Raw genomic sequence first — 17,931 nt, 5'->3', positions numbered from 1 at the left:
GACTGGTCTTGAACTATCACTTGAGATCTGCCAACCTCAGCCTCCCAAAGTGCTGGGATTACAGGCACAAGCCACCACACCCAGCCCTAACTGTGTACTTTTAAATTACCAAGTTTTTTGTTTTTTGTTTTTTTTTTTTTTTTGAGATGGAGTCTCACTCTGTCACCCGGGCTGGAGTGCAGTCTCGGCTCACTGCAACCTCCGCTTCCTGGGTTGAAGCAATTCTCCTGCCTCAGCCTCCCAAGTGGCTGGGATTACAGGCATGTGCCACCATACCAGGCTAATTTTTGTATTTTTAGTAGAGATGGGTTTTCACCATGTTGGCCAGGCTAGTCTCTAACTCCTGACTTCAGGTGATCCACCCGCCTCAGCCTCCCAAAGTGCTGGGATTACAGATGTGAGCCACTGTGTCCAGCTGGGAAGATATTATTATTATCTTTTTTTTTTTTTTTTTTTTTTTTTGGTGAGACAGAGTCTTACTCTGTCACCAGGCTGGAGTGCAGTGGTACAATCTCGGATCACTGCAACCTCCGCCTCCCAGGCTCAAGCGATTCTCCTGCCTCAGCCTCCCGAGTAGTTGAGACAACAGGCATGCGCCACCATGCCTAGCTAATTTTTTATTTAGTAGAGATGGGGTTTCACCATGTTAGCCAGGATGGTCTCAATCTCTTGACCTCGTGATCCGTCCACCTCTGCCTCCCAATGTGCTGGGATTACAGGTGTGAGCCACCACACCCAGCCAAAGATACTCATTTTTAAGATGCTTAATAATCAAGAGTTAATTCCAAGAGAACATAACAGACTGGTTTCCTAACTAATTTCTCCCCACTTCTACATATGTACAACCTTGTCTATTATGAAGTGCCAAATAAACCCTTAACTTACCAAAGAAACCATCAGAAAGGCTGATGAGTCCCGGGTGGTGTTTGTTATATCAGTATTTTTGAAGGGTTATTTGTATTTAAAGAGCAGAGGGAAAAGGTAATATAAAACTTGCAAGATTACTTAGATGTAAATGGCAGTCTTGATCTTACATGTATTTTGAAAACTATTTCTAAAGAAGAATTCATATTTTTAAAAAAGTTATGGCTATAAAACAATAATTTGGAGATTTACTTCTTTAATGAGAAAAAGGAGCATGCTGGACTCTATAATATTATATTTAGTCTTTTAATGTACCAAACTGAGTTCAAGGGAAGGAGAAAAAAAAGAGTAACTAAACAAAATAAAGATCAAAGTGAAAACAAATCCTTCAAAAACGTAGTTTTCAATTCCGAGTGGATAGTAAAATAAACTGGTGAGCTTCTAAAGCAATATTAATGCCAAAGCCCCACATCAGACAAATTAATCAATTCCTAGGAGTGGTTCCCAGGAACCTGTGTTTTGTTAAGGGTACCACCAGACTATTTTAGTGTACTGCCAGGGTAGGGAACCACCATTCTGAATAAGTCCTTTTTTAAAAAAAAAATCATATACATAAATTCATGGACCATAATAATTCACCTTCATTATATAAACATTTTATAAGTGATTAAGATATGACAATTTGACATGGCTAACCAAATAGCATTAAGAAATAATTAAAAAACAACAACTACAGACCACAGAACAATCTTACTTACAAATCAGGCACACTTATAAATATTTCTCTATAAGGCTTCTTGTGAAAGCCCTCCCCATACCCAAGAGTTTTTATATTGACCGATGTTTTCTCCTAGTATTTTTAAGGTTTTCCTTTTTTATCTTGAACTCTGGGAAAAATCAAGAATTTACCTTGGTATGGAGTAAAAGACAAAGATACAGTTTTCTTTTTTTCTAATTTTTATATTTTGGCAATCACTTCCATGAGGTTCTAATTACTATGTTCGCTGGCCTGTAAAGTACTATAAAAACTACGCTGGTTTCATCATAAAAGTCAGTTATGGCCAGGCATGGTGGCTCATGCCTATAATCCTACCACTCTGGGAGGACGAGGTGTGCAGATCACTTGAGCCCAGGAGTTTGAGATCAGCCTGGGCAACATGGCCAAATCCCGTCTCTACTAAAAATACAAAAATTAACCAGCCAGCCTGGTGCCAGCCTGTAGTCTCTGCTACTCAGGAGTCTGAGATGGGAGGATCATTTGAGCCCTGGGAGGTGGAGGCTGCCATTGACCCCGCGCCACTGCACTCCAGCCTGGGCGACAGAGCCATACCCTGTCTCAAAAAAAAAAAAAACAAAAAAAAAAAAAGAAAGAAAAAAGAAGCAGCCAGTTATACAGTTTCTCAAAACTTTCAAGGTAAAATTAAAAAGTGAAATAATTTACTTCAAAAGATAAATACACGATACCAATTAAGGCAGAAGATAAGCTGTTCCCTTAACTCAAGAGTCCTCAACCCAGTATAAGGTTTGATACTTTCCAGGGGGTACACAGGTCTAGACAATTTTAAGGAAATCAATTTTCAGATCACCAACTGCCTTTTGTGCTCTTCTAAAATTGACGTATCCAAGCACGATTCCTTGTCTCTTCCATCTTTCCTTTCACAATAGCTCTTCTATGTTATAAAAGAAAGTCAAGGCCAGACACAGTAGCTCACACCTATAATCGTAGCACTTTGGGAGGTGGAGGCAGGAGGATCACTTTAGGCCAGGAGGTGAAGACCAGCCTGGGCAACATAGTGAGACCCTGTCTCTACAAAAGTAAAATAAAATAATTAGCCAAGAATGGTGGCACGCACCTGTGATCCTAGCTACTCAAAAGGCTGAGGCAAAAGGACTACTTGAGCCCAGGAGTTTGAGGCTGCAGTAGTGAGTTATGACTGTGCCACTCTACTACAGCTTAGGTGACAGAGCGAGTCCCTGTTTCTAAGAAGGAAAAAAAAAAAGTCATTTCTCTTATTCATCTCAAGTTTTAACATGTTCCTTACCTCAAGAAATCTCCAATGCACCAAAAGGACAATTGGGAGAGACTGGGGAAAAGTCTCATGTGAGCAAAACAAGAAATACTGAAAGAAATGATGCCTTATGCTACAAACTCTTTTTTTTTTTTTTGAGACAGAGTCTCGCTCTGTCACCCAGGCTGGAGTGCAGTGGTGCGATCTCAGCTCACTGCAAGCTCTGCCTCCTGGGTTCATGCCATTCTCCTGCCTCAGCCTCCAGAGTAGCTGGGACTACAGGCGCGTGCCACCACGCCCAGCTAATTTTTTGTATTTTTTAGTAGAGACAGGGTTTCACCATGTTCGCCAGGATGGTCTCGATCTCCTGACCTCGTGATTCACCCGCCTCGGCCTCCCAAAGTGCTGGGATTACAGGCGTGAGCCACTGCACCCGGCCTATGCTACAAACTCTTGACATGACTCCTTGCTTTATCAACCTGTCTTAGAAGTAGAAAGTGAAAGTCACTGAGTGCAGGTACCGATGTGTTTCTTAGAATTAAAAATAAAACCACTTCTGATGAGAAAACATACTCCATTTGGCTGGTTTGACTATGAGGACCAGCAATTAGATTTTATAGCAGTACTTCCCATTAAAGTGAATAACCAAAATCACTTTAAGGTCAAGATCTTAGTCAATACATTATGTAAAAACATATACAACAGACAATACACCAGAAACTAAATCTTTTGCAACCTTTTAAACTTATGATGAAAAACATTAATGTCAGCTCTAAAATGTATTAAGCAGTTTTTACAAAAAAAATGTATAGAATACAGGAGCCAAAACATTTAACAATTACCCTAACTTGCTGACACAGAATACTATTAATAAATAATACTGATCAAAGAAAAGTAATCAATTTGAAAAGTGGTGGGGGTAGAAGGAACAACAACAACCCTTAAATTTCAGTGCCTGAAAATGTCTATACCAAAGCCTCATTCCTTGCTCCTCCAAAGTAGTCAATAGCATCTCTAAAGCAGTTAAGTTTCCAGGTCCTTGCCAAAGTAGTCAGTAGGTATCTCTAAAGCAGTTAAGTTTCCAGGTCAACCTAACTTTCTGTTGCAAGCAACAAATGGTACCAGAAGCTAAAAATCCCTAATTTGCTCTCAAATACTTAGTGAAGAATCTACCAGGCCCAGTGGCTCAAACCTATATTCCCAGCTATCTCAGATACTGAGGCAGAAGGATCATCTGAAGCCAGGGGTTTGGGGCTGTAGTGAGGTATGACTGCACCACTGCACTTCAGCCTGGACCATAGAGTGAGGCTCTCTCTAAAAAAAAAGGAATCGAAATTACAGTATTTGGAAGTTATTTAGCATATGGCTTTTTAATGAGACACTCACCATACTGAAACTACTCAATAGGCTGATATTTCATGAAACTTGGGAGGTAGAAATATCTTCAGATAAAAAAATTACACTTAAGTATCTTCTAGCATTCTCAAAACTTTATTTTATCAGGAACTAAAAAGTGTAACATCTTGATTCCACATTATAAGAGGAAAAGTTGCATTTACTAGTTCACATACTATTTTTAAACATTACCACAATTTTTTTTTTTTTTGAGGCAGGGTCTCCCTCTGTCACCCAGGCTGGAGTGTAGTGGGATGATCATGACCCACTGTAGCCTCAACCTCCGGGGCTTAAGCAATCCTTCTAAGTAGCTGGGACCACCATGCCAAGCTAATTTATTTATTTACTTTTTTGATAGAGATAGAGTCTCACTATTTTGCCCAGGCCGGTCTCAAACTCCTGGGCTCATGCGATCCACCTGCCTCCGTTTCTCAAAGTGCTGGGATTATGGGTGTGAGCCACCACGCCCGGCCACTTCTCCCATTTTTGACAAAATAATAAATGGAGGTAAAATAATCAAATAATAAAAGAAAAAAAATTACATATTAATTCAATTCTATAAAAGCCCAACTATTAGGGAAAAAAGTATGGAGACTTTTACATCTATTGGCAATATTTTACCTATTCAATCCAAAGAGAAACACACTACAAAGAAAATTTCGGTAGGATATGGTGCTTCACACCTGTAATTCCAACACTTTGGGAGGCCGAAGAGGGCGGATCACTGGAACCTAGTAGTTCGAGACCAGCCTGGGCAACATGGCGGAGCCCCATCTCTACAAAAAAATGCAAAAAAAAAGAAAAAAAAGCTGGGCATGGTGGCACACACCTATAGTCCCACCGACTTGGGAGGCTGAGGTGGGAGAATCACCTGACCGCAGGAAGTTGAGGCTGCAGTGAGACATGATCGTGCCACTGCACTCGCCTGGGCATCAGAGTGAGATCCTGTCTCAAAAAAAAAAAAGAAAAAGAAAAAAAATTCTACAAACATCCATTTACTTCCAATGAAACACTACAACTGACACATTATGAAAATAGAACATCAATGGTTCAGATTAAAAGAAAAGAAAAATTTCTGAACAAATCAAATCTAAGTTGAATATTGTTAACCTTACCACCTTTAAAATACAGCTGACCCAAGGCCGGGCGAGGTGACTCACGCCTGTAATCCCAGCACTTTGGGAGGCCAAGGCGGGTGGATTACCTGAGGTCAGGAGTTTGAGACCAGCATGGCCAACATGGTGAAACCCAGTCTCTACTAAAAATACAAAAATTAGCTGGGCATGGTGGCGGGCCCCTATAATCCCAGCTACTTGGGAGACTGAGGCACGAGAATCGCTTGAACCCAGGAGGCAGAGGTTGCAGTCAGCCAAGATTGCGCCACTGCACTCCAGCCTGGGCGACAGAGCAAAACTCCATCTAAAAAAATAAAATAGAATAAAATAGTAAATAAAATACAGTTGACCCATGAACTACACAGGGATTATGGTCCCGGCAACCTGTCAGCCCCTCACTCCATCAAAAATCTGCAAGTAACTTTTGACTCCCAAAAGTTAATAGCCTACTGCTGACCAGGAGCCTTACATTAACAGAAACAGTCCATTAACATGTATCTAGTATATGTATTATATATTGTATTATTACAATAAATTAAGCTAGAGAAAAGAAAATGTTAAGAAAATCATAAAGAAGAGAAAATATAATTACTATTCATTAAGTGGAGTAGATCATCATAAAGTCTTCATCCTTATCATCTTCAAGTTGAGTAGACTGAAGAGAAGGAGGAAAAGGAGGGGTTGGTCTCGCTGTCTCAGGGGTGGCAGAGGCTAAAGAAAGCCTACATGTAAGTGGAATTGCACGGTTCAAACCCATGTTGTTCAAGGGTCAACTGTACGCTGAGTATAAAGCCTTATTACCTAGTAAACAGAGGCTTCTGAAGGCTAGTCATGAAATAGTTGGCATTCATTCCCTCTCACCACTCCCTATACGTGCCTTCTTGTACGTCAAGGGCAGGAATGCTTTATTTAAAAAAAAAAAAAAAAAAAAAAACTGGCCAGGTGCATTTGCTCATGCCTATAATCCCAGCATTTTGAGAGGCCAAGGCAGGAGGATCACTTAAGCCCAGGAGTTCAAGACCAGACTGGGCAATACAGTGAGATCCCATCTCCACAAAAAACAATTTTTTTAATTAGCTGGGTGTGGTGATGAGCACCTATAGTCCCAGCTACTAAGGAGGACCTCTTGAGCCGGGGAGGACTGCTTGGGCCCAGGAGGATTGCTTGAGCCCAGGAGGTTGAGGCTGCAGTGAGCCAAGATCATGTCACTGCACTCCAGCATGGGTGACACAGTGAGACCCTGTCCCCCCAACCAAAAAAAAAAAAAAAAAGCTACATTTCCCAGACTTTCCTTTACAGTTAGTATTGGAAATGCAAACAAGGTTCTGCTAGTTAGACAGCCTCTTATGAGATTTGTAAAGCAGAAGTGATAATGGAAGCTATCTTTCTGTTGCTGATTTAAGTGGTGAGCAATGACACAAAGAAGGTTTAGAAACAATTGTGATAGCCTAACTCTACTCACCAGATATAAAGGCAACTGGAAGAAGCTGTGGTACCAGATTCAGTGTTCCTATGACTACTTACCAGTTTGTTTCCTGACCTCTCAGTCACAGCTATGGGCTTATGTTCTTGAATATATTAATCTAGTGATAACCCTCTGATTCCAGCTCTTCCAGACCATGCAATGATTTTGTAAGTACCAAATTGCCTACCATAAGATATCTTTCTGCCTAAAAATCCTAGAATAGAGTTTGTTTCTTGCAAGGAGCTCTGAAAGAAACAATACTGTTCATTATGCTTAAAATATGCATTGCCTGTATTTTTCCTCTCCCTCATTTCAGAAGTCAAATACACAAGAATTATTCTACACTGCTATTATAAATTGAAATGCTTAGGTCCATGTGAAAAATTAAAAGTTCTCTTAGCCATAGTCAGAAATTATTTTATTTATAATATATGCTAATCATGAATCAATATAGAATATTAACACTCCTTACACTGATGATCCTGCTTTTCTTGGCTGAATAAATTTATATCAGTAACATACAAAGATACAGCTACTGTTGGTTTTACGGTTTTGGGTTTTATTTTGGGGCGGGGGGAGCAACAGGGTCTCACTCTGTCACCCAGGCTGGAGCACAACCCGAGCTCACTACAGCCTCAACCTTCCAGGCTCCAGAGATCTTCCTGTCTCAGCCTCCTGAGTTGCTGGGACAAAGGTGTATACCACCTCACCAGGCAATTTTTTTTTTTTTTCAGAGACAGGGTTTTTTTATGTTGTCCAAGCTGGTCTCAAACTCCAGGGCTCAAGCAATCCTCCCACCTTGTCCTCCCAAAGTGCTGGGATTACAGGAATGAGCCACTGTGCCTGGTCTGGGTTTTGTTTTTTTAGAGATAGGGTCTCATTATGTTGTCCAGGCTAGACTCAAGTCCTTTGGCTCAAGCAATCCTCTCACCTCAGCCTCCCATGTAGCTGGGACTAAAGCGCACACCACCATAGGCAACCTCTATTATCATTTAAAAAAACTATTCTTTTACTTTGATTATAAAAGGAATATATGATCATTGTAAAAAGTGTGGAAAATATAGAAACATTTTTAAATTGGGGGCTGGGCCCAGTAGCTTACATCTGTAATCACAGTGCTTTAGGAGGCTAAGGCACAGGATTGCTTGAGCCCAGGAGTTCACAACCAACCTGGGCAACAGAGCAAGACCCTATCTCTACCAAAAAAAATTTTTAAATTAGCTGGGCATGATGACATGTGCCTGTAGTCCTAACTACTCAGGAGGCTGAGGTGCGAGGCTTACTTGAGCCCTGGAGTTCGAGGTTACACCAAGTATGATCACACTACTGCACTCCATCCTGGGCAACAGAGGAGACTAAGAAAATTAAAAATAAAGAAATTAATAACCATCCCCCAAAACCAGGTACACTGAACAGTTGTACACGTACAATTTTGTATCCTACTTTAGCACTCTAACAATTGTTTTCCTTTGAAATCCTTTACAATGAATTACTAATAAAAGATATATGCAGATGTACCTAATTTAACGACTCTTTTTTGTTAAAAATTAAGGTAATTTTCAATTTTTTAAAATTATAACTAATGCTTCACTGAATACTTTTGGATAAAAAGCTTTCTGAAGGATAAATGTGTTATATCCATGCAATGGGACATTATTCAGCCATTAAAAGGAATGAAGTACTGATACATACCACAACATGGATAAACCTTGAACATATTATGCTAAGTGAAAGAAGCCAATTACAAAAGGCCACATATTTCCTACACGGCTGATGGAAACGTAAAACTATGCAGCCACTTTAGAAAACAGACTAGCAGTTCTGCAAAATATTAAACACAGAGTTACCATACAACCCAGCAACTCTACTCCTAGGTATATATACCCAAGATAAATTAAAACAAATCCATGCAAAAACTTGTACATGAATGTTCATATTTATAGCAGCATTATTCATAACTGAAATGTGCAAACAACCCAACGTCCATTCACTGATAAATGGACAAATAAAATACTGTATAAGCATTCAACAGAATAATATTCAGCCATAAAAGAGAATGATGGGCCTGGCGCAGTGGCTCACACCTGTAATCCCAGCACTTTGGCAGGCCGAGATGGGCGGATCACCTGAGGTCGGGAGTTCAAGACCAGCCTGAACAACATGGAGAAACCTCGTCTCCATTAAAAATACAAAATTAGCCAGGCATGGTGGCACAGGCCTGCAATCCCAGTTACTTGGGAGGCTGAGGCAGGAGAATCACTTGAACCCAGGAGGCAGAGGTTGCAGTGGGCCGAGATCACACCACTGCACTCCAGCCTGGATAACAAGAGCGAAACTCCATCTCAAAAAAAAAAAAGAGAATGATGTACTGATACATGCTATATGAATAAATCTTGAAACATTATGCTAAATGAAAAAAGCCAGACACAAAAGGTCACATATCGCATGATTCCACTTACATTAAATGTCCAAAGAGGCAAATCTAGAAAGAGAAAATATGTAAACGGCTATCAGAGGATGTGGGGAGGGAAGAACAGAAATGACTACTCATTTTGTTTTGGGGTGATGAAAATATAAAATTAGTAGCAACGGTTGTACAACACTGACTTATGTAAAAAAGGTGATTTTGGCCAGGCGCAGTGGCTCATGCCTGTAATCCCAGCACTTTGGGAGGCCAAGGCGGGCAGATCACCTGAGGTCAGGAGTTCGAGACCAGCCTGAACAACATGGAGAAACCCCATCTCTACTAAAAATACAAAATTAGCCAGGCATGGTGGCACATGCCTGTAATCCCATCTACTCGGGAGGCTGAGGCAGGAGAATCGCTTGAACCCGGGAGGTGGAGGCTGCGGTGAGCCGAGACTGCACCACTGCACTCCAGCCTGGGCAACAAGAGTGAACCTCCATCTTAAAAAAAAAAAAAAAGGGCCAGGTGCAGTGGCTCACACTTGTAATCCCAGGACTTTGGGAGGCCAAGGCAGGCGCATCACGAGGTCAGGAGATCAAGACCATCCTGGCTAATATGGTGAAACCCCGTCTCTACTAAAAATACAAAAACATTAGCCAGGCATGGTGGCGGGCACCTGTAGTCCCAGCTACTCGGGAGGCTGAGGCAGGAGAATGGCATGAACCCGGGAGGCGGAGCTTGCAGTGAGCCGAGATCGCGCCACTGCACTCCAGCCTAGGTGACAGAGCAAGATTCCATCTCAATAATAATAATTTTAAAAAGGTGATTTTTTATGTGAATTATCTCAATTAGGGTGTCATTAAGGAAGGAAAATAACCTCCTCTCCCCCCAAAGAAGAAAAAAAAAGGTTACTTCCTTAGAATAATCTCTCAGAAGTGGAAATACACACAAATATGCCAAAGCGCTTTTGAAACAGGTTCCAGATTTATACTACCTCCAACAACATATTTAGTACCTGTGTCATCACTGTACTCAGGTCTGAACAAGCACCATTCCTTAAACCTTAAATCTGATAAGAGAAACTTGCTATTGTTTATTACTTTAAAAATGAACACTTTCTCCCCATATCTTAATCATAAACTTTTCAAATGGTCAGTTCTTAGCCTTTAAAAGTGACTTCTCTATGTATATAACACAAATGTTTCGATTTCTCAGGAAATGTAGAAATGGACTTTCTTACAATTTTGGTCAGCAATAATTAACTCATCCTAACTCAGTTCTATTTCAGCTTTTAACCTTAAAACTTTCCTTTAAGTCACATATTTTTAAAACAGTCCGAAAAACTACTCTCCTCCTTAGACAGGGAAATTAAAATTTCCCTGAAAGATCACTACCTGGGTTATACATGTTTCTAGTTTCCTGATGGCACTTAACTTTCAAGTGAAATGTCCAAGTGGCTCCCAAGACATTTTAAAACGATATGGTATTGTTGAAAGGAAATTAAACATTTATTAACATCTTATTCTACAAGCCAAATGCTTTATGTGCATTACTTCATTTAATCCTAACAAATGTATTACTCTCACTTAACTGAAAAGGAAAATGAAAATCACCAACGGTAAGAACTTGCCACGCAGCAAATATGCAGCAAAGTTAGAGATCAAATCGAGGTGTGTCTAAATTTCAAAGTCCATATTCTTTCTGCCACTTTACAATGCTTTCCAAGCTAAATGACTATGGAAAATCAGGCAAGACTTTGAATACTTGTTCTGCCACTTACTGTGTGACTAATTTCTAAACTTCTTCAGAGTAGAGTTTACAAAAACAAGGTCACTGTTCACAAAATAAATCTTAAAAGAGGAGGCTAAAAATTCACTGTGAGATGAAACTTTCTTTAAATACTATTTTTTCAACAGCAAAATGTATGGAATAATTCTAAACACTTTTCTAGAATTTGTTTCAAGATTCACTTTACCTTCCAACAGAGGCACTTGCATATCCACTCACAAACATGTAATGTAGATAAAAAACACTTCTTTAGGGGCTGTCAAGTCTCTTCTGTAGACCACAAATGCATCATTTCTCAGTAGAAAAGGCCACATCAACTACATTGCTCTTTACTCTTCTTTACCACATGAGAAATGTTTTCAGCAACATATACACCATTCAGGAAGTAGCACAAGGGGGTAAGAGAAAAAGCTACTGAAGAGAAAAAGACTGGAGGAGCTTGTGAGCAAGCAGTGATACAACACAGAAAGGACGAGGTTAAGAACAATAAAAATGAAGGCAAGACATCAGCGGTCTACTCTACCCCAGGTAATGGATATCACTGTGATCAAGGAAAAATCCTTAAAGGATCTTTGATTTGCTTTTACAATTGCTATTTAACGACCCAAACAACCACTTGACAAATTTGGAACTGGTGATTTCCAAAGAATGCAATATACCAATATATATGAGCAATTCTTCCACAAGGATTTTTCACATTCATAAAACAAAAATCAAAGGAAACATTAACATAAGAATTCTTACATGCTAAAATTTTTCCAAGAACTATTTCACTCCTCATTCTCACACATAAAAAGGGTAGCAATATCTAATAAAATTGTCATACTACAGATAGATGAAGGCCTTCAATAAAACACAGTTTTCTTCCAAAATTATTTTACTATTAAAGGATCAGTCGGACTTGGACAGACTAAAAAATATAAACTTATCTACAGGCTCATATTTTACCCTAGGGCTATTATTAAAATAATTCTGCTGTACATAGAATCCTGAATGGTTTTCATCAGCTAGTATAAAACAATCAGGCTATTGTGCAATGGTAAGAGGGCTCTTAAGAAAAAAATTACTGCTGAAAGTAATTCTTTTCTCCAGTTGACTTACCACATTCTACTCTCTATAAACACCATTGTTTTTAATCACAACTTTACCTACAGCTTTATCCTCGTCAAACAGAATTTTCACTTTCCAATATGACCCTTTCAAACTGAAGTAATAAAAAGTAATACTTTTATGATAATATTCGTTAAAGTGAAATGTCAGAGTCTATGTAAGATTTTGTGAAAAAACATATATTCATATTGAGGTATCTGGAAGGATGTTCATCAAAACATGACCACTGACTAGTTATTATATTTTAGGGTGGTAGGATTAAAACTTTTTCCTTAGCTTGTATATACTTTCTGATGTTCTACATTAAATACAGTTTGTGTGTGTGCATAAAAGAGAATAATTTCAGTTAAAGGGTAAGAAATGTAGACCCCATATTTTAATTCAGTAGCACCAGTTCAAATCCAGTTATTCAGAATTAACAAAGCAACTGTTGCTCAAAAAATGCCAATAAACTCCCGAGCCAACTAAGTTCAATTTTTCTTTGAGACAGGGTCTTGCTCTGTCATCCAGGCTGGAGTGCAGTGGTGTGAGCTCAGCTCACTGAAGCCTTGACATCCTAGGCTCAAGCAACCTCCCACCTCAGCCCCCAAGGAGCTGGGGTCATAAACACACTCATGCCCAGCTAATTTTTGTATTTTTTATAGAGATAGGGTTTCACCCTGTTGCCTGGGCTGATCTCGAACTCCTGTACTCAAGCAATCGCCCACCTCAGCCTCCCAAAGTGCCGGGATTACAAGCGTGAGCCAACCACTGTGCCCAGTCTCAGAGTTCAATTTTTAAACAATAATTTTTCTCCAGTCAGAAAATGCTGCCTGTAACTTTGTGTCTCTTTAAAGAACTGGGGGAGAAGGTAGAGGGAGAGTGTGGAAAACGGACTGGAATGTCCAGGTGACCACAGGAAAGGTAACAGGAAAAAACTTGAGAAAACAAGACAACACCATTTCATTGATTTGTAAAAGAAATCACAGAGTAGAAGAAAGTAAATTATCAGAGAAAGTAAGCAAGCACTTAAAGGGTAATAAGTAAAAGCAGAAAAAAAAGTTAAAAAAAATTGAACTCAGGAGTATTTATGTAAATTATTCTGAAAGGGGGGGGGGGAGGGCTGAGAAAATGCTATATAACAAACTGAATCAGTTCTGCTTTCTTGACCAGAAAAGTAACGCCTTTCAATAATCTTATTTAGCATAAGCAGTAAAACCAAGAACACTCTGTCAGAGGATCTGAAGATCTTTTGTGCCTGCTTTGGAATGAACTATTAGATACACAGTTAAACAATATACAAACATATAAATAGCACATTTTATGCAATAAATGAATCTAGAAGTAATCATCAGATGTAAAGAGAACATAACTTTGAAAAAGAAGGTAAAAGCACTGATATAACTCCACTGACCACCATAAAGAAATTTCTTTAAACCAAAATAAGTAATTCTACTAGACTAAACCATAAGAAATTGCCAATATTCACCAGGTGTGGTGGCTTACGCCTGTAATCCCAGAGCTTTGGGAGATCGAGGCATGCGCATCACTTGAGGTTGGGAGTTCAAGACCAGTCTGGCCAACATGATGAAACCCTGTTTCTACTAAAAATACAAAAATTAGTCGGGCGTGGTGGTGCACACCTGTAGTCTCACCTACTCGGGAGGCTGAGGCAGGAGAATCACTTGAACCTAGGAGGCAGAGGTTGCAGTGAGCCAAGACCAAGCCACTGCACTCTAGCCTGGGCAACAAACAGACTCTGTCTTTAAAAAAAAAAAAGAAGGGAGGGGAGAAGAGAGGAGAGGGGAGAGGAGAGGGGAGGGGAGGGGGAGGGGAGGGGAGGGGGGAGGGGAGGGGAGAGGAAAGGAAAGGAACTGCCAATATTCAAGCATTTTTTTTGTCTATAAAAACAACAATTTCATATGGTCCCACTGCCAGTGGTCTGCTGATAAATATTTGACCACCTCTTTGAGAAAAGGGCCCCTGATTTGTAGCTTCTGCAGTCTGCCATGCTGTAAATGTCCCACCATGGCCAGTTTCAAGCTACTAACATGATGTCACACATGGAGCTGGAGAGAGAGGCACAATCAGCTAACCAGTTCCAGCACAACACTGGCTCCACTTAACTACTCTGATCTAAGAATCATCACAACAGTTCCTAAATTTTCTCATCCTTTTCTAAAACAGGCTTTTATCGGAATAATCCAGTTTCTTTTCTAGGTTAGGAGAAATAGGCTTTTGACATTTTAAATTATTAATACACTAAAATCACTCACAAGGAAGAATAGGCCAGGCGCAGTGGCACACATCTGTAATCCCAGCACTTTGGGAGGCCCAGGCGGGATCTCCCAAATGTGGATCACATTCTCAACTAGCCTAGCCAACAAGGAGAAACCCCATCTCTACTAAAAATAAAAAATTGGCTAGCGTGGTGGCACACACCTGGAATCCCAGCTACTTGGGTGGCTGAGGCACAAGAATTGATAGGACCAAAGGCTGCAGTGAGTCCTGATCATGCCACTGAACTCCAGCCTGGGAGACAGAGCAAGACTCCATTTCAAAAAAAAAGTGGGGGGAATAGATGAAATTGGTACCTGGCTTTATCCTCTCAACACTTTTTTTTACTGAACACCTTTTGGTGCCAGTATTGTTTCGGGCATTGTAGACAGCAAGGAATAAGACAAAGGAAGTCCCTACTGTCATAAAAATTAATTTTAAAAAACACATAATTTCAAGGACTCACAAATGGCATGAAGAAATTAAAACAGTGATGGGGAGGACCTATTTTTAACTGAGTGGTGAGGAAGCAGGAGGTGATATTTAAGCTGAGATTGGAAAGGTAAAGGGCCAGGCTAAAAAACATCTGGGAAAACACCATTTCAAACAAAGGAAACAACCAGTGTAAAAGCTCTAAGCCAAGGCCAAGAATGGCATGTTTGAGAAACTGAACAGACTAACTTGGCCAGAGTGTAGTGAGCAAAGGTGAGATAATAGGCTGTTAGGGCCAAATTATGTACAGACTGTTGAGTTTGTATTTTCTGGGTGAGTACAGTTTATATCTTATTCTGAATGGGTTGAGAAACAACTTCACATAGTAGTTTGATAAATGTACTGAATGGAATAAATGAAGGCATAATGTCATGCATTATTTTAATGACCCCTTATGAGACTGGGGTCACACCTATTAATTGTATTCAGTTTTCTCAATATGACCACTTTGATTACTTAATAATCTAAACAGAACATTATGAAGTTAAAGTAGGATGGCGGGCATCAAACTATGAATACAGCTGAAATAAACTGAGTGGTAGGACTACACACCAGCTCAGAAACAAGGATCTCATTAATCCAAGATGGTTATGTGTGAAATGCTAACATATGAATTCAACTAGGTCAATGTCAAATTCTAATGAAAACTACCTAGTCTATAAAATAGATTATTTCAAAATTGTAAAGAAACACTTCTAGTGTGTCATCCAACATGATGATTTTATTTGGTATGTAAACAGGCTTTTTAAAAATTATAATGGTCGCCAAGTGCGGTGGCTCACGCCTGTAATCCCAGCAGTTTGGGAGGCCGAGGTGGGCGGATCATCTGAGGTCAGGAGTTCAAGACCAGCCTGGCCAACATGGTGAAACCCCACCTCTACTAAAAATACAAAAAAAAATAAAAAAATTAGCTGGGCATGATGGTGCATGCCTGTAATCCCAGCTACTAGGGAGGCTGAAGCAGGAGAATTGCTTGAAGCCAGGAGGCAGAGATTGCAGTGAACCAAAATTGCACCACTACATTCCCACCTGGGTGACAGAGCAAGTCTCCATCTCAAAAAAAAAAAAAAAAATTCTAATGGTCATGTTTATATGAGAGTCTAAATTGTATCTGCATATTACAAAAACTGTAAAGATATATATACACACCCACACACACATTGTGGCGATATGAAAGTCCCACAATACAAGTCAATAAAGACATAAATTATTGCATATTATACAAAAATGGGAAAATGTTTACACTGGTTTATCGAGAATAATTTATACTTGCACACAAACATTATCTCTTTAATTCACCAACTTCTAAGCCACCTATTTTAACAACTTATCTAAAAGATTTTTTTTTTTTTTGAAACAGGGTCTCATTCTGTCACCCAGGGTAGACTGCAGTGGTGAGATCTCGGCTCACTGCAGCCTCAACCTTCTAGGCTCAAGCAATCCGCCCACCTCAGCCTCCTGAGTAGGAGGGACTATGGGTGTACAGGCCTGGCTAATTTTTCTATTTTTTTTTTTTTTTTGTAGATGGGGTTTCGCCTCGTTGCCCAGACTGGTCTCGAACTCCTGAGCTCAAGCAATCCACTCACCTCAGCCTCCCAAAGTGCTGGGACTACAGACTTAGCCTATCGCACCTGGCCAAGATTTTTTTCTTAATCAACCAACAGCAAATGAGATCTACAGCTCAGGAAAAAAAAAAAAAATCTTGTCTTGACATAATGAAATACCAGAACTTCACAAGTCATTAATTTCTTTTGCACTTTCATTTCCCAACTATCAGTAAAATTGCAGTTTTAGTATGTACAAGCATTTTTAGGAACACAAATATGTATATGCATTTAATAAATACTACTCAATAGAGTTGTGTACATTATTGTAGCTGCTAGTTTACCATGGAAATATAATAAATATACGCTTTTTTTTTTGAAAGGAGAGTAACTAGGCAGTACAGTACTAAGAGGACAGGCATACTAATAACTTTTTGTAGACTAAAAAAAATCCCTCCCTAAAACTGTGAGACTTCTATTTGAGCTTTCAAAAAAAAATGCACAGGATACCATCGAGCTATCTCAGTAACAGTAACTGCCTTTCTTTAACAAAAGAAGTTTAGCAAAAACTAGCAAGAAAAGAAAAGAAAAGAAAAGAAAAATAATGAAGTTTTGGCACCCAATCTCATTTGAGCCTACATCCCTGATAAAAAGAAAATTATACGGCCAGGTGCAGTGGCTCACACCTGTAATCCCAGCACTTTGGAAGGCCCAGGTGGGTGGATCACTTGAGGTCAGGAGTTTGAGACCAGCCTGGCCAATATGGTGAAACCTGGTCCCTACTAAAAACAAAATTAGCCTGGCCTGGTGGTGGACTCCTGTAATCCCAGCTACTTGGGAGGCTGAGGCACAAGAATTGCTTGAATCCGGGAGACGGAGTTTGCAGTGAGCCGAGATCACACCACCGCACTCTAGCCTGGGCTAAAGAGCGAGACTCAGTCTCAAAAAAAAAAAAAAAAGATTACAATATAGTCCAAATTGAAGGGTCTAAGTCCATGTAAATCACCAACACTCAGAATTGAAGAAACATCACTTTAAAAAAAAATAGCGCAAGCCCAAAATAGGTTTTTTTAAGGTGCTGTCACCCTACTACCAAATCAGGTTTTCCTTTTCTTTATTCCATCAGTTTATCTCCTTTCCTTTCCTACCTCCTCTGTCCCTTACCATTTTACTGTGTATTTTCACTTTACATACACAAAAATTGATTTGAAACTTACTTCATACTCTTGCATCTAAATTTGTTTCTACTTAATTCTTACAGGACTACATGGTTTTAGGTGAAATTCAAATACTTTTAGTTATAGAAACATTCATATAAGCTGTAACCAAAGACATGAGTGACAAGATTAACAGTCATTCATTCAGGAAATGTTGAGTCCCCATTATGTGCTCTCCACTGTTCTGAATACTGGGGATTCTGCAGTGAATAAAACGAAGCTCTATTCCTACTAGCACTAAAGCAACACTATGCTTGGCAAGTTCAAGA

At 39.7% G+C, this 17,931-nt stretch overlaps 1 protein-coding gene across 11 annotated transcripts in view, besides 1 other annotated feature; it reads right to left on the bottom strand.

Annotated features, from left to right (window-relative positions):
- Positions 1–17,931, bottom strand: part of CDC42SE2 (CDC42 small effector 2) — a 184,621-nt gene that overhangs the window by 101,970 nt on the left and 64,720 nt on the right. The window contains exon 2 of one of the 11 annotated variants that reach the window (XM_047417397.1): positions 5,976–6,038. The exons of 9 other annotated variants lie outside the window; for them this stretch is intronic. The gene's annotated coding sequence lies outside the window, so the exon portion shown is untranslated. Of the gene's footprint in view, positions 1–4,951; positions 5,045–5,975; positions 6,039–17,931 lie in introns of those variants that run through there. One more of the 11 variants, XM_047417398.1, reaches the window with a different exon arrangement.
- Positions 3,375–3,434: an enhancer, noted in NCBI's record as "active region_23047". NCBI's record gives its function as "activates an Ori minimal core promoter by ATAC-STARR-seq in GM12878 lymphoblastoid cells {active_cell/tissue: GM12878}" and the evidence as "EXISTENCE:reporter gene assay evidence [ECO:0000049][PMID:35858748]".

This window comes from Homo sapiens, chromosome 5 (assembly GCF_000001405.40).
Source record: "Homo sapiens chromosome 5, GRCh38.p14 Primary Assembly".
Taxonomy (NCBI): Eukaryota; Metazoa; Chordata; class Mammalia; order Primates; family Hominidae; genus Homo; species Homo sapiens.
Note: the sequence above shows the minus strand (reverse complement) of the source record. Positions and strands in the feature narration are given on the sequence as shown.